Source organism: Homo sapiens, chromosome 8, assembly GCF_000001405.40.
Source record: "Homo sapiens chromosome 8, GRCh38.p14 Primary Assembly".
Taxonomy (NCBI): domain Eukaryota; kingdom Metazoa; phylum Chordata; class Mammalia; order Primates; family Hominidae; genus Homo; species Homo sapiens.
This window is the reverse complement of record NC_000008.11, coordinates 64,909,482-64,933,395: the sequence shown is the minus strand read 5'-3', so window position 1 is coordinate 64,933,395 and position 23,914 is coordinate 64,909,482. Positions and strand designations below refer to the sequence as shown.

Sequence of the window (23,914 nt, the reverse complement as noted above, 5' to 3'; positions counted from 1 at the left end):
CAGTCAAGATGATATTATACTTATTAATAAGACAAACCATTCAATTTTTTAAATGGGCAAAAGAGTTTAATAGATACTTCACTACAGAAGATACACAGAAACCATACAATCACATGAAACTATTCAACATCATTAATCATTAGGGAATGAGCTACCATTTAATGCCCATTAAAAAGGCTATAATCAAAAATACATACAATAACAAATGCTGGTAGAAATGTAGAGAAAGAGGAACCCCTATATATTGCTGTATGCTATAGTCACTTAGAAAAACAGTTTAAAAGTTTCTTAAACATACCATGCACTTTCCATAGAAAAGCAACTTAAATTGCTGGAAATCTGTTCTAGAGAATACAAGCATATGTTCACACAAAGACATGTACAAGAATGATCATGACAGCATTATTCATAACAGTAAAAAGCTAGAAATAATCCAAACATCCATCAACTAGTGAAGATATAAACAGAATGCAATATAACCATTACAATGGAATTCATAATAAAAAGGAACAAATTTGATACATGAAACGATATTGATTAACCTCAAAAATATGATGCTAAGAGAAAAACCAGACCCCAAAGACTATATTTTTAATTATTTTATTAATATAAAATTTCTGAAAAAGCTAACATCTGAAGAGTCAGAAGTCAGATCAACAGTTACTTAGAAGGGCAATAAAGCAAGAAGTAAGGCAATTAGGCATGAGGAAACCTTTTGGGACAATGGAAATGTTACAAAATTGGATTGTGATGATAATTACACAGCTGTATAAATTTTCTAAAACTCATCAACTATACACTTAAAATGGGTGAATTTTATAATATGAAAGTTATACCTCAATGAAACTGTTAAAAACTTTAAATGGCATTTAGGATTCATACTTTAAATCCCCAATACCCCCATATAAATGCCCAGTAGTAACAGGTAAAACGTAAAGAAGATTTAAAAAATTACTACTAAGGCAATTCTGTGGATCAAGAATAAAACAGTAAGAGAAGGCAGCAAGCGGGGCCAAAGTTGTCGACAAGTGTGGTCCAGATTTAGAACTGATATTGGCTAGGAAGTTTATCTCTTATAACAAGAAATAATAGTAGATCACATGAGAAGAAACTAAAGCCAAGCTCACTGTTCAAAATCAGGCAGTACAATAGGGTTTTCCTACTCATAAGCAAAGGCCAAGTTTGGAGGAGAAAAGAATGTGTGAGGAAGTTGAAACTGACGGTTATCTGGTATTATTGTTTATATATATGAAGCTTTATACTTTGACAACTTTGATACTAGCAATATTCAATATTAACACAAGATAAAAGTCCAAGACAGCTATGATAAGATCTAGTTATGAACTAAGACCTCAGAAGCCAAGTGGAAATATTATAAAACAACTGCAGAAAGAAAATGTGTGTGTGTGTGTGTGTGGGTGTGTGTGTATAGTGGTAGGGGGGATCAAACTGCCAACTAAAGAAGCATCTCCAAAATAATTATTTATCCAAAAATATTTGACACTCTCTCTCTCTCTCTCTCTCTCTCCAGCCCATGTAAACATGACCTTGGGAGAAGTATATACCACATCAATGAAAATAATAACATTGTCTTTACAAAGGATTTTTAAATACATGGAATTTTAAAAGAGTTATGTGAAGGCCTAACACCCATTCAAAATAATTAGACACCATAAGAGTAAAATTAAGTTCAGGGGCTGCTGACAAGATGGCCGAATAGGAACAGGTCCGGTCTGCAGCTTCCAGTGAGATCAATGCAGAATGATTTCTGCATTTCCAACTGAGGTACACAGTTCATCTCATTGGGACTGGTTGGACAGTGGGTATAGCCCACAGAGGGCAAGCCAAAGCAGGGTGTGGTGTCGCCTCACAAGAGAAGCACAAGGGGTCAGGGGATTTCCCTTTCCTAGCCAAGGGAAGCCATGAGAGACTGTACCGGGAAAAACAAGGCACTCTGGCTCAGATACTGCGCTTTTCCCACAGTCTTCACAACCGGCAAACCAGGAGATTCCCTCTGGTGACTGGCTCAGCGGGTCCTACCCCCACAGAGCCCAGCAAGCTAAGAGCTACTTGCTTGAAATTCTCGCTGCTAGCACAGGAGTCTGAGGTCGACCTGGGATGCTCAAGCTTGGTGGGGGGAGGGGCGTCTGTCATTGCTGAGGCTTGAGTAGGTAGTTTTACCCTCACAGTGTAAACAAAGCTGCTGAGAAGTTCAAACTGGGCAGAGCCCAACGCTGCTCAGCAGGGACACTGTGCTCTCTAGATTCCTCATCTCTGGGCAGGGCATCTCTGAAAAAAAGGCAGCAGTCCCAGTCAGGGGCTTACAGATAAAACCCCCATCTCCCTGGGACAAAGCACCTGGGGGAAGGGGCAGCTGTGGGGCAGCTTCAGCAGACTTAAACATCCCTGGCCTGGGAGCTCTGAAGAGAGCAGTGGATCTCCTAGCACAGCATTCATATTCTGATAAGGGACAGGCTGCCTCTTCAAGTGGGTCCCTGACCCCCATGTATCCTAACTGGGAGACACCTCCCAGTAGGGGCTGACAGATACCTCATACAGGAGAGCTCTTGCTGGCATCTGCTGGGTGCCCCTCTGAGACAAAGCTTCCAGAGGAAGGAACAGGCAACAATCTTTGCTGTTCTGCAGCTGCTGCTGGTGATATACAGGCAAACAGGGTCTGGAGTGGAACTCCAGCAAACTCCAGCAGACCTGCAGCAGAGGGGCCCAACTATTAGAAGGAAAACTAACAAACAGAAAGGAATAGCATCAACATCAGCAGAACTTAGAGACCTCATCCAAAGGTCTCTGACAAAGACCAAAGGTAGATAAATCCATGAAGATGGCAAGAAACCAGCACAAAAAGGCTGAAAATTCCGAAAACCAAAATGCCTCTTCCCCTCCAAAGGATCACAACTCCTTGCCAGAAGGGAACAAAACTGGATGGAGAATGACTTTGACAGATTGAACAGAAGTAGGTTTCAGAAAGTGGGTAATAAACTCCTCTGAGCTAAAGCAGTGTATTCTAACCCAATGCAAGGAAGCTAAGAACCTTGAAAAAAGGTTATATGAATTGCTAAGTAGAATAACCAGTTTAGAGAAGAACATAAATGACCTGATGAAGCTGAAAAACACAGCACGATAACTTCGTGAAGCATACACAAGCATCAATAGCAGAATCGATCAAGCAGAAGAAAGAATATCAGAGATTGAAGATCAACTCAATGAAATAAAGTAAGAAGACCACGTTAGAAAAAAAAAAGAGTGAAAACAAATGAACAAAGCCTCCAAGAAATATGAAACTATGTGAAAAGACCAAATCTATGTTTGATTGGTGTACCTGAAAGTGACTGGGAGAATGAAACAAGTTGGAAACACTCTTCAGGCTATTATCCAGGGAACTTCCCCCACCTAGCAAGAAAGGCCAACATTCAAATTCAGGAAATACAGAGAATGACACAAAGATATTGCTTGAGAAAAACAACCCCAAGACACATAATCATCAGATTCACCAAGGTTGAAATGAAGGAAAAAATGTTAAGGGCAGCCAGGGAGAAAGGTCAGGTTACCTACAAAGGGAAGTGCATCAGACTAACAGCGGATCTCTCAGCAGAAACCCTACAAGCCAGAAGAGAGTGGGGGCCAATATTCAATATTCTTAAAGAAAAGAATTTTCAACCCAGCATTCCATATCCAGCAAAACTGAACTTCATAATTGAAGGAGAAATAAAATCCTTTACAGACAAGCAAATGCGGAGAGATTTTGTCACCACCAGGCCTGCCTTCCAAGAACTCCTGAAGGAAGCACTAAACATGGAAGGGAACAACTGGTACCAGCCACTGCTAAAACATACCAAATTGTAAAGACCATCAACACTATGAAGAAACTACATCAACTAATGGGCAAAATAACCAGCTAGCATCATAATGACAGGATCAAATTCATACATAACAATATTAATCTTAAATGTAAATGGGGTAAATGCCTCAATTAAAATACAGAGGCTGGCAAATTGGATAAAGAGTCAAGACCATTGGTGTGTTGTATTCAGGAGACCCATCTCACGTGCTCAAAATAAAGGGATGGAGGAATATTTACCAAGCAAATGGAAAGCAAAAAAAGCAAGGATTGCAATTCTAGTCTCTGATAAAACAGACTTTAAGCCAACAAAGATCAAAAGAGACAAAGAAGGCTATTGCATAATGGTAAAGGGATCAATTCAACAAGAAGCGCTAACTATCCTAAATATATACGCACCCAATACAGGAGCACCCAGATTCATAAAGCAAGTTCTTAGAGATCTACAAAGAGACTTAGACTCCCACACAATAATAGTGGGAGGCTTTAACACCCCACTGTCAATATTAGACAGATCAACGAGACATAAAATTAACAAGGATATCCAGGACTTGAACTCGACTCTGGAACAAGCAGACCTAATAAACATCTACAGAACTCTCCTTTCCAAATCAACAGAATATACATTCTTCTCAGTACCACATCACACTTATTCTAAAATTGACCACATAGTTGGAAGTAAAGCACTCCTCAGCAAATGCAAAAGAATGGAAATTATAACAAACAGTCCCTCAGACCACAGTGCAATCAAATTGGAACTCAGGATTAAGAAACTCACCAAAACTGCACAATTACATGGAAACTGAACAACCTGCTCCTGAATGACTACTGGGTAAATAACGAAATGAAGGCAGAAATAAAGCTGTTCTTTGAAACCAATGAGAACAAATACACAATCTACCACATTCTCTGGGACACATATAAAGCAGTGTGTAGAAGGAAATTTATAGCATGAAATACCCTCAAGAGAAAGGAAGAAAGATCTAAAATCAACACCCTAACATCACAATTAGAAGAACTAGAGAAGCAAGGGCAAACAAATTCAAAAGCTAGCAGAAGACAAGAAATAACTAAGATCAGAGCAGAAATGAAGGAGATAGAGACATGAAAACCCTTCAAAAAAAATCAGTGAATCTAGGATCTGGTTATTTGAAAAGATCAACAAAATAAATAGACCACTAGCCATACTAATAAAGAATAAAAGAGAGAAGAATCAAATAGACATAATAAAAAATGATAAAAGGGATATCACCACCAATCCAACAGAAATACAAACTACCATCAGAGAATACTATAAACACCTCTACATAAATAAACTAGAAAATCTAGAAGAAATGGATACATTCCTGGACACATACACCCTCCCAAGACTAAACCAGGAAGAAATTGAATCCCTGAATAGACCAACAACAAGTTCTGAAATCAAGGCAGTAATTAATAGGCTACCACCAACAACAACAAAAAGTCCAGGGCCAGGCAGATTCACAGCCGAATTCTACCAGAGGTACAAAGAGGAGCTACTACCATTCCTTCTGAAACTATTCCAAACAATTGGAAAAGAGGGAATCCTTCCTAACTTATGTTATGAGGCCAATATCATCCGGATATCAAAACCAGGCAGAGATTCAACAAAAAAGGAAAATGTTAGGCCAATATCCCTCATGTACATCGATGTGAAAATCCTCGATAAAATACTGGCAAACTGAATCCAGCAGCACATCAAAAAGCTTATGCACCATGATCAAGTCAGCTGCATCCTGGGATGCAAGGCTGGTTCAACATATGCAAATCAATAAATGTAATCCATCACATAAACAGGTCCAATGGCAAAAACCATATGATTATCTCAATAGATGCAGAAAAGGCATTCGACAAAATTAAACAGTCCTTCATGCTAAAAACTCTCAATAAACTAGGTATTGATGGAACAGATCTCAAAATAATAAGAGCTGTTTATGACAAACCTGCAGGCAATATCATGGGCAAAAACTGGAAGCATTCCCTTTGAAAACTGGCACAAGATAAGGATGCCCTCTCTCACCACTTGTATTCAACATAGTATTGGAAGTTCTGGCCAGGGCAATCAGGCAAGAGAAAGAAATAAAGGGTATTCAAGTGAGAAAAGAGGAATTCAAATTGTCTTTATTTGCAGATGACATGATTATATATTTGGAAAACCCCATCATCTCAGCCCAAAATCTTCTAAAGCTGATAAGCAACTTCAGGAAAGTCTCAGGATACAAAAATATCAATGTGAAAAAATCACAAGCATTCCTATATACCAATAACAGACAAATCATGAGTGAACTCCCATTCACAATTGCTACAAAGAGGATAAAATACCTAAAGCTGATAAGCAACTTCAGAAAAGTCTCAGGATACAAAAATATCAATGTGAAAAAATTACAAGCATTCCTATACTCCAATAACAGACAAATCATGAGTGAACTCCCATTCACAATTGCTACAAAGAGAATAAAACACCTAGGAATACAACTTACCAGGCATGTGAAGGACCTCTTCAAGGAGAAATACAAACCACTGCTCAATGAAATAAGACAGGGCACAAACAAATGGAAAAATATTCCATGCTCATGGATAGGAAGAATCAATATTGTGAAAAATGGCCATACTACCCAAAGTCATTTATAGATTCAATGCTATCCCCATCAAGCTACCATTGACTTTCTTCAGAGAATTGAAAAAATACTTTAAATTTCATATGGAACCAAAAAAGAGCCCACATAGCCAAGACAATCCTAAGCAAAAGACCAAAGCTGGAGGCATCATGCTACCTGACTTCAAACTATACTACAAGGCTACAGTAACCAAAACAGCGTGGTACTGGTACCAAAACAGAGATATAGACCAATGGAACAGAATGGAGGCCTCATAAATAACACACATCTACAACCATCTGATCTTTGACAAACCTGACAAAAACAAGCAATGGGGAAAAGATTCCCTATTTAATAAATGGTGTTGGGAAAACTGGCTAATCATATGCAGAAAGCTGAAACTGGATCCCTTCCTTACACCTTATACAAAAATTAATTCAAGATGGATTAAAGACTTAAATGTTAGACCTAAAACCATAAAAATCCTAGAAGAAAACCTAGGCAATACCATTCAGGACATAGGCATGGACAAAGTCTTCATGACTAAAACATCAAAAGCAATGGCAACAAAAGCCAAAATAGACAAATGGGATCTAATTAAACTAAAGAGCTTCTGCACAGCAAAAGAAACTATCATCAGAGTGAACAGGCAATCTACAGAATGGGAGAAAATTTTTACAATCTATCCATCTGACAAAGTGCTAATATGCAGAATCTACAAAGAACTTAAACAAATTTACAAGAAAAAAACAACCCCATCAAAAAGTGGGTGAAGGATATGAATAGACACTTCTCAAAACAAGACATTTATGCAACCAATGGACATATTAAAAAATTCTCATCATCACAGATCATTAGAGAAACAAAAATCAAAAACACAATATGATACCATCTCATGCCAGTTAGAATGGCGATCATTAAAAAGTCTGGAAACAACAGATGATGGAGAGGATGTGGAGAAATAGGAATGCTTTTACACTATTGGTGGGAGTGTAAATTAGTTCAACCATTGTGGAAGTCAGTGTGGCAATTCCCCAAGGATCTAGAACTAGAAATACCATTTGACCCAGCTATCCCATTACTGGGTATATACCCAAAGGATTATAAATCATTCTAATCTAAAGACACATGCACACGTATGTTTATTGTGGCACTGTTCACAATAGCAAAGACTTGGAACCAACCCAAACGCCCATTAATGATAGACTGGATAAAGAAAATGTGGCAAATATACACCATGGAATACTATGCAGCCATAAAAAGGATGAGTTCATGTCCTTTGCAGGGACATGGATGAAGCTGGAAACCATCATTCTCAGCAAACTAACACAAGAACAGAAAACCCAACACTGTATGTTCTCACTCATAAGTGGGAGTTGAACAATGAGAATACACGGACACAGGGAGGAGAACATCACACAGTGGGACCTGTCAGGGGGTGGGGGGATAGGGGAGGGATAGCATTAAGTGAAATACCTAATGTAGATGACGGGTTGATTGGTGCAGCAAACCACCATGGCACATGTATACCTATGTAACGAACCTCCACATTCTGCACATGTACCCCAGAACTTAAAGTATAATTTTAAAAAAGAGTAAAATTGATAGAAATAAAACAAAAATGAGTGGATGTGGAAGAGAATCAATTAAAATTGAAATTTAAAAAAATTAATAAACAGTCAACTTATTGGGAATGGTTAAAGTGAGAAGATGATAAAGAAAGTCACCCATAATGCATACAGGGATAAAAATGAGATAAAAAACAATTAAAACCTGTGGAGTTCATGTAAGAGAATCCAATACATGTACTGGGGGATCTCCAGATTAAGAGAATAGAGAGAATGGCAGAGAAATAGTATTCAAAAGTTGGTAGCATAGTTAGTAATGAATAAAAATAACTTATATTTCCCATTCTGCATTATGCCAAATATTTTAGCTAAGAAAACAAAACAAGAAAATCTGGGTGATGTTAATAACCTTCTTGAAATATATAATATCTGACTCGAAAAAAAAGAATAATGTTGTGACCATTAAGGAAACTCAATCAATAGTTAATCTATTAAAAATGCATCTTATCCAATTAGTTGCACATGAGTTTTCTACTAAATGTCCAAGGGATGTATAATTCTATCTTATTTTATAAGACCAGTATGAAAAATACATTATGAGTTTCACTTACGTAAAATTCAATCACAGTCAAAACTAATCTACAGTGATAGAAGGCAAAACAGTGGTTTGTGAGGGCCACGGATGGAGAAGACTAAAATGCCAGAAATCAGGGCATAATGGAAACTCCTGTGATGATGAAAATCTTCTAAAATTGTGATTTATGAACACATTTTAATGTATTTGTCTGTATGTTACATTTTATCATAAAAATATCTGGAAGCACTTCCAGAATGGTAATATGAAGAACTTTATGGACCCTCTCTGCAGCAAACAGCAAAATAACCATAATTGCTCAAAGGATTATTTGTAAAAGCGAACACACAACTTACAGTGTCTAGAAATTATGTTAAGGGTTTACAGAAAATGGAGAAAAACATATTCAAGAAAATCTACTAAATCTTGTTAAGGCCCACGAGAGTTTTTACCACTTCAGGTATGACCTACCCTCCTTCCCCCAACTACACAGCTCAAAATGATGGATTATTTACTCGTGACTGGTGTGGCCAAGAAGATGAGGTTCTTTTCCACCCCAGGTCCCAATCTATGACAATAATTTCTCCCCAGAAGGGGTAGGCCAACAGGATTTCTTATTCCTCATACTCCATCTTGCTGAAACTGTAAGCCAGTTAAGTATGGCTGATATAGCTCAGCTTTCCCCTCTACTGAGTCTTAAATTGCAGGGTAAAACATTACTCTAGGTATGTCAGGTCATGGATACTAGGCCCTGATCATCATTGTTCCAGTTCACTCATAGAACCCAGATACCATGCCTGGAGAGGCAAACAGAGAAGACCAGGGACACCCTAACTCAATGCAACACTTGTAAAGCACAGGCATTATTCTGAAAGAGATATGCTGCTGTCCTCACCCTCAGACCTAAAAATAGCAAATCTTGAAAGCAGAAAGAAAACTCTCCTCATGCACAAGGAAGCTTCAGTAAGTTTAACCACTGACATATCATCAAAAACTATGGAAGACAGAAGGCAGTGGGATGACAATGTTCAAAGTGCTGAGAGAAGAGAAAACTTGTCAAGTAAGAATAATACGTTCAGCAAAGCTAATCTTAAGAAAGTAAAACAGGCCGGGTGCAGTGGCTCACACTTGTAATCCCAGAACTTTGGGAGACCGAGGCAGGCAGATCATGAGGTCAGGAGATCAAGACCATGGTGAAACCCTGTCTCTACTGAAAATACAAAAAATTAGCCGAGTGTGGTGGCGGGCGCCTATAGTCCCAGCTGCTCAGAGAGGCTGAGGCAGGAGAATGGCATGAATCCGGGAGGCAGAGCTTGCAGTGAGCCGAGATCGCACCACTGCACTCCAGCCTGGGCGATAGAGCGAGACTCCGTCTCAAAAAAGAAAAAAGAAAGTAAAACAAAGACATTTCAAATAAACAGAAACAGATATTTCATGCTAGCAAACTCACTGTAAGAGATACTAAAGGAATTTTTTAGACCAAGAGCAAGTTACAATAGAAAATAATTCCAATTCACATTTAAAAAGCACTGGCAAAGATAATTATGTGTTTATAAAAGAGTAATAATGAATATTTATCCTCCTTTATGTCTTTAAATAATTTAAAATAAATTGCTTAAAACAATATGTACATAATTTTGTATATAATTATATGTATTGTTGAGCCATAACATATTTAAAAACCCAATATATTTAAAAATATATTATACCTAGGAAGTAGTTGGAGCAAAGGTGTATTGCAATAAAGAAATTATACCAGCTGGTAACTCATATCTATAGGAACAAAAGCTAACAAATACAATACCAAAAAAAAATGGACAGGTCAATATTCTTGATGAATATAGATGCAAAAATTCAACAAAATTCTAGAAAACCAAATTCAACAACACACTAAAAGAATCATTCCCTATGATCCAGTGAAATTTATCCCTGGAATGCAGGAATATTTCAACTTACAAAATCAATAGATGTGATATACCACATTAAAAGAATGAAGAACAGAAATTATACGATCATCTCAATGGATGTAGAAAAGCCATTTGACAATATTCAGCAGCCTGCCAAAATAAAAACTCAACAAATTAGGCATAAAAGGAACATACCTAAAAACAATAAAGGCTATATATCACAAGCCAATAGCTAACATTCTACTCAACAATGAAAAACTGAAAGGTCTTCTTCAAAGATCACAAACAAGATAAGGAGTCCTACTTTTGCCACGAAGTCCTAGCCAGAGCAATTTAATTAAAAAAAAAGAGGACAAAAGAAAAAGCCATTTAAATAGGAAAGAAAGATGCTAAATTGCCTGTTACAGATGAAATAATTTATTAGAAAATTAAAGACTCCACCAAAAAAAACCTGTTGAATAAGCAAATTCAGTAAAACTGCAGGATATAAAATCAACACACAAAAATTAGCAGCATTTCTATACAATAACAACAAACTATGCTCCCAAAATCAAGAGTATAATCCTATTCACAATAGTTAGAAAAAATTAAAATATTTAGGAATAAATATAACCAAAGAGGCAAAATATCTATACACTGAAAACTGTAAAACAATGATAAAAGAAATGGAAGAAGAAACAAATAGAAATATATCCTGTGTCTGTGTATTGGAAGAATTAACATTGTTAAAATGTCCTTGTGACTCAAAGTGTTCTACAGATTCAATGCCATCTCTATAAAAATTTCAATGACATTTTTCATAGAAATAGAAAAGGCAATCCTAAAATTTATACGGAACCACAAGAGACCCCAACGAGCCAAAGCTATCTTGAGCAAAAATAAAGTTGGAAGCATCACACTACCTGATTTCAAAATATACTACAAAGCTATACTAATCAAATCAGCATGGTACTGATATATAAAGAAACAGCATAGTGTTGTGTATAAAGACACACACAGACTGATGGAAGTGAGAGTCTACAAATAAATTCATGCATATGCAGGCAGTTGATTTTTTTGACAAGGATTCCAAGAATACACAATGTGGCAAAAAAACGTCTTCTATAAAGATATTGGGACAACTACATTGCAGAATAATGAAAATAGACCCTTATCTTACACCATATACAAAAATTAACTGAAAATGGATTGTAGACTTAAATGTAAGACCTGACACTGTAAAGCTGCTAGAAGACATACAGGAAAAACTTCATGACAATGGTCTGGGCTATGATTTTTTTTTCAACCTGACCTCAAAAGCACAGGCAACAAAAGCAAAAATAGATAAATGAGATTGTATCAAACTAAAAAGCTTCTGCACCGCAAAGGAAACAATCAACAGAGTAAAGAGACAACCAACAGAATAAAAGAAAATATTTGCACATCATAATCCGATGAGGGGTTAATATACAAAACATACAAGTAACTCAAACAATTCAGCAGCAAGAAAACAACCTGATTTAAAAATTGGCAAAGGAACTGAATAAACATTTCTCAAAAGAAAACATACAAAGAGACAGTAGGTATATGAAAAAATGCTCAACATCACTAATAGGGAAATGCAAATTAAAACCACAATGAGCTATCGCCTCACAGCTGTTAAGATGGCTATTTTCAACAAGACACTAAGTTTTGATAAAGATGTGTATAAATGAGAATCCTTGTATACTGAGGATGTAAATTAGTACATCATTGTGGAAAACAGTATAAAGATTTTACAAAAAGTTAAACATATAACTACCATATGATTCAGCAATCCCTCTACTAGCCATATAGCCAAAGAATACGAAATAATTATGTTAGAGAGATACCTGCACTCCTGTGTTCATATATGGGATCAACTTAAATGTCTATCAACAGATGAATGGGTAAAGAAAATGTGCAATAAACACACAATGGAGTACTGTTCAGTCCTAAAAAAAGAAGAAAGTCCTGTCACTTGGGACAGTGTAAATAGACCTGGAAGACATTATGTGAGGTGAAAGAAGTCAGGCACAGAAAGAGAAATATTGCATGATGTCACTTACATGCGGAATCTGAGCAATGTCAAACTCACAGAAGCAGGCAGTAGAATAGCTGTTATCAGGGGCTTTGGGGAGGATGAGTAAGACTAGGGAGATGTCGGCCAAAGAATATAAAATTTCAGACAGGAGGAATAAGGTCAAGAGATCTACTGTACAACATGTGAGGAATAAGGTCAAGAGATCTACTGTACAACATGGTGACTATAGTTAACAACAATGTATACTCGAAAATTGCCGAGAGTAGATTTCAAGTGTCCTCACCACACACACACAAATGGTAAGTATGTGAGATAATAAATATGTTAATTAGCCTGATTTAGCTATTCCACAATGTAGACATGTATTAAAACATTATATTGCACACCATAAATATATACAATATTTATTTGTCAATAAAAATTACATATAAAGGCCGGGTGCGGTGGCTCATGCTTGTAATCCCAGCACTTTGGGAGGCTGAGGCGGGTGGATCACGAGGTCAGGAGATCGAGACCATCCTGGCTAACACAGTGAAACCCCGTCTCTACTAAAAATACAAAAAATTAGCCGGGCGAGGTGGCGGGCGCCTGTAGTCCCAGCTACTTGGGAGGCTGAGGCAGGAGAATGGCATGAACCCCGGGGGGCGGAGCCTGCAGTGAGCCGAGATCGCACCACTGCACTCCAGCCTGGGTGACAGCGAGACTCGGTCTCAGACAAAAAAAAAAAAAAAAAAAGATTACATATAAAGATAAAATAAAAAATAAAAAACTTAAAAGTGTGAAGACAAAATTAAGAATTAGAATGATACAGTATGATACTATTTATGCAAAATTTTAAACACAAAAATACTTCATAATTTTGAATACATACATATATAAGTAGTAAAAATATGAAATTAAGGCCATTAAAAATACACAACAACTTTAGGGTAGTGGTTAGGGAAGGTAATGCACTACCTAAATACCACTTAATGTATATATAGTGATGATATTTTTTTGTTGGAATTTATCTGATAAATCTTTATCATTTAATTTTCAAATATTTTGTCATTTTGAAATTGTGTCACTCGTAAATGGTATATAGCTAGATTTTGTTGTATTTTAAACAAATCTAGTAATTTCTATCAAATAAAAAGCCAGAAACCCCCTAGACATCAGAACTCTTCTTCAGGGTGGCCTCAGCTGCACAGCTGCTCATGGAGCTGCCTGAGAAGACTGCCAGGAGCCAGATGTGGTTCCGGGGGCAAGAAGGGTATTATCTCATGATGCTTTCCATCCCTAAGACATTGATAAGGAGTGCGTTCATGAAACTTCCACCACATAATGCTTTACATAAGACATGCTTGGTAAAAGGTAAATGAATAGAATAAGAGATGTCTATTAGAATCTTATTTATTTAATCATAGCACATGTAATTTAATACAGATCAAATCATGGGCTTCTAGCATTGAACACATCTTTTTCCATAATGTGGAAAGAATAATATATAGAATTATTTAACCTGATATTTATTCATTCAGCATGTATTTACTTAGTACTTACTGGGTGCAAGACACTGTGCTAGGCACTAAGTGATGTAGCACTGACTTGATTTTGATCTTCAGGAGTTTACATCTCTCCAGAGTTGATAAAGTTACACAAATATCTTATACGTCACCTTACATTTGTACAGCGCTTTTGAAGTCATTAGTGCTTTTTCACATACTATTCTACTTAATCCTCATCATGCTCTGAGATACTTTTTATTTTCCAAGAAAAGCACACATCAGGTAAGTCACATGGCTAGCAAGTAGCCAAGAGATTTAAGTCCACGTTGATCTGCCTTCAAATCTCAATGTCCAGTCCCACCAGGCTGCAAGACATCCCCTTTGTAGTGACACTAGATGGCTCACTAGTCCCTGAATAGCCCATTATCTGCTTTCTCTTCATTTTTGTGCTTTGCAGCCGTCTGGGCTTACAATCCCCCTATAATACCTATCTCTTTCTCCTCCTTCAAGCCCTGTGAAAAGCACTCAGATCTCATAAGTGAGAATCAGGTGCTATACTCTCTAATTTTCAACAACTTTCTGGGTATTTCTCCTAGGTTACTGATTGAATTTCAAGGAGAAGCAAATAAACTTTTATTCAGCATAACTAAGTTTTGGACACACAGTAATGCTGTGAGGTATTATTATCATGTTAAAAGTAATTTAAGGCAGTAATTTAAAATGCAGGTTCTAGAAACTGGCTTCACATGTTCCAGTCCTGAATCCATTTACTAGCCAAGTTATGTTGTGAGACGATAAAAACACTCAAGTTCAAGGGCTTTTGAAAGGATCACATTAAATATTGCAAAGGAGAGATGCATAGTAAATGCTCAAGACATGTTAACTATTATTAGTTAACATGTAAAGAGACTGAGGCTAAATAAATTTAAGTTATTTAACCCTCCTAAGGCTAGTAGGGTAATAAGTGGTAGAGACTGGATTGAAAACAGATCAAACTCCAAAGCCCATATTCCTTTCTTGAGATCAGTAGTATCCAACCTTTAAAATCACATTTTTATATCAGTAGGAAAAAAAGGGCAGGCTCTCCTAATATTAATTACAAGTTTTATCTGTAATACTAATATAATATATTGTGTACATTATTAACACATAATATAAATGAATATAAAATGTAAATATAATACAAGTTATACTTACACTTTATTTGCTCCAGGTTATTCTCTTTGAAAGGCTGCCTTTTTGTGAGTGCTTGTCTAATTCTAGTTGGTATCCTTAACCCTAGCATATAATATAATATTTTGCCTATAGTAGATGCTCAATAAATGTGCATAAGAGTGGGTATAAGGTTTTACTCTATGCTGAAAAAAATAAAACTTAGTCACTGCTGTCACATACTGACATGAGTGCAAATGTGTTCAAAAGTGGCATCCTTGAATTGATTTTTAATATATCTGCTAGTTTCAGCTGCTAAAGGTCAAGCTTCAGTCATCTTCCTCAGAGCATTAGTTAAAAGAGAGAGTTTGCTATAGAGTGTGAACAGCTGGCATCCCAAAAGGGCCATTTGCAAGGAGAAGGAGAAAGGTCCTCAAAGGCATACACATCCCATTCAAAATTGTTTGCTTAATTCTCCTATCTGTAATTCCACAGAAAACAAATGCTGCTACTGTCTCTTTAAAAACACTAGATCTGTTGGGGACTTTAAGGTTGTTTAATAAGCGTGAGTCTCATTTTTTTCTGATAAATGCAGTGAACTGTAGGTGTAGATCTTCAACCTGGAGGGGATTGCCTGTGGACTGGATGGAAGTGTGTGTTTTATTTCCTTCTGCACCAGATGAGAGGGTATAAAAGCAGTCACCTGTCAACCCACTCCAGCAATGAAATTCAGCAGCCTATTGTCCCAATCACTGCTCTCAATCACTCTAAACGGTCTCCAGAGACAATCATTATTATAGGACATGTTCCTAAGAGTAGATAAATGGAACTCCACCTGCCAGCCTGCATAGGGAAAGATGGACATTCTTGGCCAAAAATATGAAAGGGCCTGGAGCTTTATTGACATTTACATCAAAAATAGTTAGCAATGAAAGCAGCTGTTGTGGCATGCTTTCACCACGACTTGTTTGGAATATGCTGTGAATTGAAATACAGACCTCCTGACAAGCAATTTACCTTCTGTCAGTCTCCATGTGCTTGCAGCATTACTGGGTACTCGCTGTGATAGGCCACTTAAAGCTGCACATGTGTACAGTTTGGATGAAAGATTAACTACAATTTAAGGCAGGAAGTAACGAATTGTGGAGTGTCATTCATAATGGCCTACATTGTCATCTGCAGGGTGACACCATAGCAAGAAGGTGCCTCTGTTGTGTCTGCCTTATGGAATCAGATGTCATTCATTCTAATGAAGATCTGACTACAATTCTCATAAGCAGACAGCAAGACAGCTCAGGACTGGAAGCATTAATCTGCCTTGTTTGTTGACATTACAGCGATTACTAAAATGCCATTATGCAAGAAATTCTTTCAGAAGCCATTCAGTAGGGGCAATTGTAATACAATGTATAACAGCCTGGAACAAAGGATGTGCCAGGAGTTAATTTCTATATTTATTCTTCTTAGTTGATTCAGTACATTGAATTCCCCCCCTTATAAAATTTCTACTTGATGAAATATTATGACGTTTCCTGAGTAAAGTACTGATTGCTTTGTGTGAGTAAGATCTAGAATTCCTGTCTCTTCAATGCAAAGTTCTGTATATTTCAAGTTTTGGTGGGAATTTCAGACAATGATGTAGCATTTGTTACGACTGATGAGTAAATACTTAGCTGCTCTTTTCCTAAAACTATTGTCCCAAGCCGTGCTATCTGCAGCTCTAGAAACAATATTTAGGTGCATGATTTAGTCATATAAGGAGAATAAGTAACTGAAGTTGTTTTCCCTCCCTTGGCTAAGGAGTTCATCATTTTCAATTTGACAAGCTCCTCAACAGTGTAAGGTCAATGAGCAACTGCCAAAGGTGGTGTTTCTACAGAAATCAAACTCCTATGAGTCATTCATTACACATTTATTTTAAAAGGAAGACAGAGGGTTTCATTTCCCTCCCTAAGTTTGAGAGCTGCTCTCTGTTTCTTTTCTCTTTTATTAACATTTGATTCTTTGGGTTCCTCAGGGTAGTAGCTGATGAGGATGTGATTCACAACAGTTTAGTTTTTCATAACTCAGGTAGAAAGAAGGTGTTTAGTACAATGATGCCTCAAATATCCAATGCATTTGCTCATAAGATTGTGTATCTATGACTCCTGCAGTTGGTGGTCAATCCTTGAACCATCCAGGTATAGCTCATTCTATCTTTTCACCCTCGTTCGCCACTAGAATCACATGCTGTATTTATACTTCCGCTTCAGATACAAGTGTGGTCTAAAGCCTTAGTAAGCTTGGGAATCTAAGCTTCCAAGATGCTCCTGCTAGCCAAACTGCTCTAGGAATCTAAAACTACCAGCAAAGCAAGTTTTCTACCCCCTGCTTTGTTTAAAACAAACAAACAAAAGGTGGTTATTATCACTGATCCCTGATAGATGCTGAAAGAACCAACTAAACCTACTTTAGAAATATATTCCTGTTAATAACAATTCCAAATATATTCCTATGAGTAAAAAGATACACCATGCATTTCAGAGAACATAGATTCACAGAATCATTTGTTGTGATTGGCTCTTGGGCCTTTGGCGGCTAATGCTGGCTTAGCACGGAAAATTTATGTGAGCTGAGTTCTAACAGGCCTGTGTGTATTAAAGCAGAGGCAATACCGCGGATGACTTTTGCTTTCAGTGAAACTGCCTTAATTGAGTCTTTTTGTGTCTTCCAGCCAACAAATAGCTGAAGGAAATCACCAGCAGCTGTCTAGCTCCTGGCAGAGGTGGGCTTTGAGGCAGCCATGCAAATTAGTATGTTCCTACAGCCCCTCCCAAAACACAAAGGGACGGCAAACATCGAAGTTTCTATTAGTGGCTTACTTTTGCATCTCTACAAACTCAAGCCTATTTCTAATTCCTATTGCTGCTGTTAACAATTTACCCCAAACTTGGTGGCTTAAAACACACATTTATTATGGTTCTGCAGGTCATAAGTGCAAAATGGGTCTTACCTGCCTAAAATCAAGTTGTCAGCAGGATTTCATTTCTTCTGGAGGCTCCAGGGCAGAATATCTTACTTGCCTTTTCCAGCTTCTATAGGCTGCCTGCGTTCCGTGGCTTGTGGCCCCTTCCTCCCATATTCAGCAGCCCAACACTACTCTCTAACTCTGACCCTCCTGCCTCTTTCTTTCCCTAATAAGGACTCCTGTGATTGCTTTGGGCCCACCTGGTTAACTCCCCATCCACAAATCTTTAACATAATCACATCTGCAAAGTACCTTTCACGTGTGAGGCAACATAGTCACAGGTTCTGGGGATTAGAATATGGAAGTCTTTGAGGGGCCATTATTCTGTTTGCCATACCTGCTTTATACAAATCCTTTCTGTGTTCATTGCCGTGTTTTTTTCCCTTGCCACCTTCAGAGGTAGTCATGGCAGGCAAGACTACCACTTCTACTTGGTGAGTGAGGAGGCTAAGGCTTGGAAACGTGGGCGATTTGCCCAGCTCCACACTGCTTGAGGCAGAATCAGACACCTGAGATTGTAAAGAGAGTGAAATCACTTTTTTTTCCCCAACTTACATACATATTTTATTCTCACATGTTTGCTCACAAGTCAATATCTAATATTCACAATACATTTCTTCACAGAAACGTTAACTTTCCTGGCCAGCCCAAAAAATCTCTTCAAAGAATAATACAGCTGAACATAACAACAAGGGTTTGAAAAAGTTAAGTCTCTACATAAGTAAATCAGACCAGAGTCAATGTAATTTTTAATAAATCTGGAAGATCCAGTAATACTTCTCCAGAATCATAAGAGGCCTTCTTTGGGAGTATGTATTACTGCTTAAAGAGCAGGAAGTGTGGAAAGAGACAACTGAAAACTATGTGAGGTAATATGTAAGACTTATAAAAAATTGCATTTTACTTTAAAAAATGAATACATCATCACTGAAAAAAATTCAATAAAACAAAATAAAATTCCCCCATTTTACCTCAATAAAACAGCACTTTCCCTAGATAACCATGATTACTTCATGTGTATCTGCCAGTAAAAATAAAACTGATTTGGCATCTTTCCCACAAATAGTCTCATACTGTACATATCATTTCATAACTTGCTTTTTTAATTTAACATTTAGCTTTAAAGAATTCTTAAAATTACCTGCCAATCAGTATTTTTAAAATAGAATAAGTATTCTATTTTGAAATCACTTGTTAAAACTCTCTTCCTTTTATATTTTTATACCTGTATAAACAGAACTGGGCTGCTAGAAGTCTTGAAGGGAGGACTTCGCTCCCCTGGGTGATATTGTGTTCCAGCCCAGGCTCTCTCCCATGCCAGCCTCTTGAGTCTCTGCTTTCTTTGGGCTTAACAGAGACCAAGTTATCATTTCCTTTCTCAAACCTCCTGTCTGCTCATCCTCTTAGGCTCATCCTCCCAGAAGCACCCATACTCTTTTTTTTTCTTTTTATTATACTTTAAGTTTCAGTGTACATGTCCACAATGTGCAGATTTGTTACATATATACACATGTGCCATGTTGGTGTGGTGCACCCATTAACTCGTCATTTAACATTAGGTACATCTCCTAATGCTATCCCTCCCCACTCTCCCGACCCCACAACAGGCCCTGATGTGTGATGTTCTCCTTCCTGTGTCCGTGTGTTCTCATTGTTCGATTCCCACCTACGAGTGAGAACATGTGGTGTTTGGTTTTTTGTCCTTGCGATAGTTTGCTGAGAATGATGGTTTCCAGCTTCATCCATGTCCCTACAAAGGACATGAACTCATCATTTTTTATGGCTGCATAGTAATCCATGGTGTATATGTGCCACATTTTCTTAATCCAGTCTATCATTGTTGGACATTTGGGTTGGTTCCAAGTCTTTGCTATTGTGAATAGTGCCGCAATAAACATATGTCTGCATGTGTCTTTATAGCAGCATGATTTATAATCCTTTGGGTATATACCCAGTAATGGGATGGCTGGGTCAAATGGTATTTCTACTTCTAGATCCCTGAGGAATCACCACACTGACTTCCACAGTGGTTGAACTAGTTTACAGTCCCACCAACAGTGTAAAAGTGTTCCTATTTCTCCACATCCTCTCCAGCACCTGTTGTTTCCTGACTTTTTAATGATCGCCATTCTAACTGGTGTGAGATGGAACCTCATTGTGATTTTGATTTGCATTTCTCTGATGGCCAGTGATGATGAGCATTTTGTCATGTGTCTTTTGGCTGCATAAATGTCCTCTTTTGAGAAGTGTCTGTTCATATGCTTCACCCACTTTTTGATGGGGTTGTTTGTTTTTTTTCTCGTAAATTTGTTTGAGTTCCTTGTAGATTCTGGATATTAGCCCTTTGTCAGATGAGTAGATTGCAAAAATTTTCTCCCATTCTATAGGTTGCCTGTTCACTCTGATGGTAGTTTCTTTTGCTGTGCAGAAGCTCTTTAGTTTAATTAGATCCCATTTGTCAATTTTGGCTTTTGTTGCCATTGCTTTTGATATTTTAGACATGAAGTCCTTGTCCATGCCTATGTCCTGAATGGTACTGCCTAGGTTTTCTTCTAGGATTTTTATGGTTTTAGGTCTAACGTTTAAGTCTTTAATCCATCTTGAATTAATTTTTGTATAAGGTGTAAGGAAGGGATCTAGTTTCAGCTTTCTACATATGGCTAGCCTGTTTTCCCAGCACCATTTATTAAATAGGGAATCCTTTCCCCATTGCTTGTTTTTGTCAGGTTTGTCAAAGATCAGATAGTTGTAGATATGCGGCATTATTTCTGAGGCCTCTGTTCTGTTCCATTGGTCTATATCTCTGTTTTGGTACCAGTACCATGCTGTTTTGGTTACTGTAGCCTTGTAGTATAGTTTGAAGTCAGGTAGTGTGATGCCTCCAGCTTTGTTCTTTTGGCTTAGGATTGACTTGGCAATGTGGGCTCTTTTTTGGTTCCATATGAACTTTAAAGTAGTTTTTTCCAATTCTGTGAAGAAAGTCATTGATAGCTTGATGGGGGTGGCATTGAATCTATAAATTACCTTGGGCAGTATGGCCATGTTCACGATATTGATTCTTCCTACCCATGAGCATGGAATGTTCTTCCATTTGTTTGTATCCTCTTTTATTTCCTTGAGCAGTGGTTTGTAGTTCTCCTTGAAGAGGTCCTTCACATCCCTTGTAAGTTGGATTTCTAGGAATTTTATTGTCTTTGAAGCAATTGTGAATGGGAGTTCACTCATGATTTGGCTCTCTGTTTGTCTGTTATTGTTGTATAAGAATGCTTGTGATTTTTGCACATTGATTTTGTATCCTGAGACTTGGCTGAAGTTCTTTATCAGCTTCAGGAGATTTTGGGCTGAGATGATGGGGTTTTGTAGATACACAATCATGTCATCTGCAAACAGGGACAATTTGACTTCCTCTTTTCCTAATTGAACACCCTTTATTTCTTTCTCCTGCCTGATTGCCCTGGACGGACCGAATTCTACCAGAGGTACAAGGAGGAGCTGGTACCATTCCTTCTGAAACTATTCCAATCAATACAAAAAGAGGGAATCCTCCCTAACTCATTTTATGAGGCCAGCATCATCCTGATACCAAAGCCTGGCAGAGACACAACAAAAAAAGAGAATTCTAGACCAATATCCCTGATGAACATCGATGCAAAAATCCTCAATAAAACACTGGCAAACCAAATCCAGCAGCACATCAAAAAGCTTATCCACCATGATCAAGTGGGCTTCATCCCTGGGATGCAAGGCTGGTTCAACATACGCAAATCAATAAACGTAATCCAGCATATAAACAGAACCAACGACAAAAACCACATGATTACCTCAATAGATGCAGAAAAGACCTTTGACAAAATTCAAAAGCCCTTCATCCTAAAAACTCTCAATAAATTAGGTATTGATGGGACATATCTCAAAATAATAAGAGCTATTTATGACAAACCCACAGCCAATATCATACTGAATGGGCAAAAACTGGAAGCATTCCCTTTGAAAACTGGCACAAGACAGGGATGCCCTCTCTCACCACTCCTATTCAACATACTCTTAAAGAATACTTCAGTTCAGATCAATAAATATCTTAAAAACAAATATTATTTATGGGGCACTGCATTAGGTTGAGCTTTTGGTAGACTGGAGATCAACAAATGGTCATGAGATGACAATGCCCATAGTACAGTAGTATGACCTGGATTCAAATGGCAACAAATTCTTTTTAATCCAGGTGACCTTTTCCAGGTTACTTTGTGCTTCTCTGAACCTCAACATCCTTATCTTAATGATTGACTAGGATGACATATGATAGTACCATGCTAGTGTCAATCTAAATAACCAACAGAGAAACAAGCTCCCTAAAAGAAGGAGATATTTATTTGGATTAAAGCATTGCAATGGGAATATGCATGCCATAGTAAACTATGTGTATATTCCGGGAGGCAAAGGAAGACAAAGGTTTTTATGGGAAAACATTAAGGAGAATTACATAATTGTTGAAATAATTATTATCCTTGGCTACAAAAATCAATAACAAGGGTGATGCCAGTCTGAGATTAGACATGCAGTTGCTGGGCAGATGTCCTTGTAGAAGTATTTTTTTGTTTAAGATTGTGATGGCCTTTGTGCAATGTTGTGTTTTTTTTACAATCTTTGGCAATAATTTTGTTATCAGGCATACAAGCATAAGGGTCTTCTTTTTGTGGCCTTCCTGGCTCTATTTGCCACAGTTTTCTTAATATTAGTGGCACCGTGGCATGTGGAATGTTTCATATATGTTCATTCCCTCCCCTTTTTCCTTGTTGCCCTAAAAGAAAAAGAGAACAGCTGAATTAAGAACTCAAATTAGGGACATTTGCACATTAATAAAATGGGGGTGGGAAACTTTTATTAGGTGATATTTAACACCAAGAATGAAACTAAAAACTTGAAATCTTTAGCAATATGGCAGGTGCAGAGGTGTTTCTAAGTGAGCACCTTTCAGCTGTTTGTCAAATCTCATATTTAGGTGTAGACACCAGATTGCAGGGAATTATAGTCATTCTAATAAATTACATAGGAGATTACTGCAGATATGTGATAAAAATTACAAGCTAATACAAACCTCTTTTCCTAACACTAGAGAATTAAGAGGATATGACAAACAGTAAACTAAAAGCCCTTGGCTATCTGCTTCATTCCACCAAAAACCCATTCATTCATGATTTGCCCATTCATTCATTTATTTGCAATTTCTTGAATGTTTACTTTGTGCCACTACATGAACCTAGGAATGCCATGACTAATAAAACTTAGTAGTTTTCCAACATGGCATAGACAAGCAATAACAATGGATGCAAATGAGTGCTATGGTAAAAATAAGATGTTTTGGAAGCAAAGTGGAAGGTCATCCATTCCAGTCATCAAGAGAAAAGAGTCAGGGATGTCTTACTGGAAAGGAAATATCTGATATGACAGCTTAATAATACATAGAAATTACCCAGGTAAGGAAAGAGAAGAACTAGGGTACTCCAGGCAAAACCAGAGAATTCAAAGACTTGAAGAAGAGAGCACATGACATGTTTGAAAACAACAATATGTTCTTGTGGCTAGAGCAGTTCTTAAAACTCTAGGAATCTTGCTGTCCTTCTCTGCCTCCTCCACCTCAATGACACTTTAGAATAGCAAATGTGGACCTCCTGCCCCAAGAGATTCACACCACCTATACTCTCCC

The 23,914-nt window shown here is 37.5% G+C and overlaps 1 annotated feature.

Moving 5' to 3' along the window:
- Nucleotides 1,933-2,434: an enhancer, noted in NCBI's record as "NANOG hESC enhancer chr8:65843197-65843698 (GRCh37/hg19 assembly coordinates)". NCBI's record gives its function as "activates a minimal SCP1, AML or CMV promoter by ChIP-STARR-seq in primed H9 embryonic stem cells {active_cell/tissue: H9 hESC(primed)}" and the evidence as "EXISTENCE:reporter gene assay evidence [ECO:0000049][PMID:30033119]".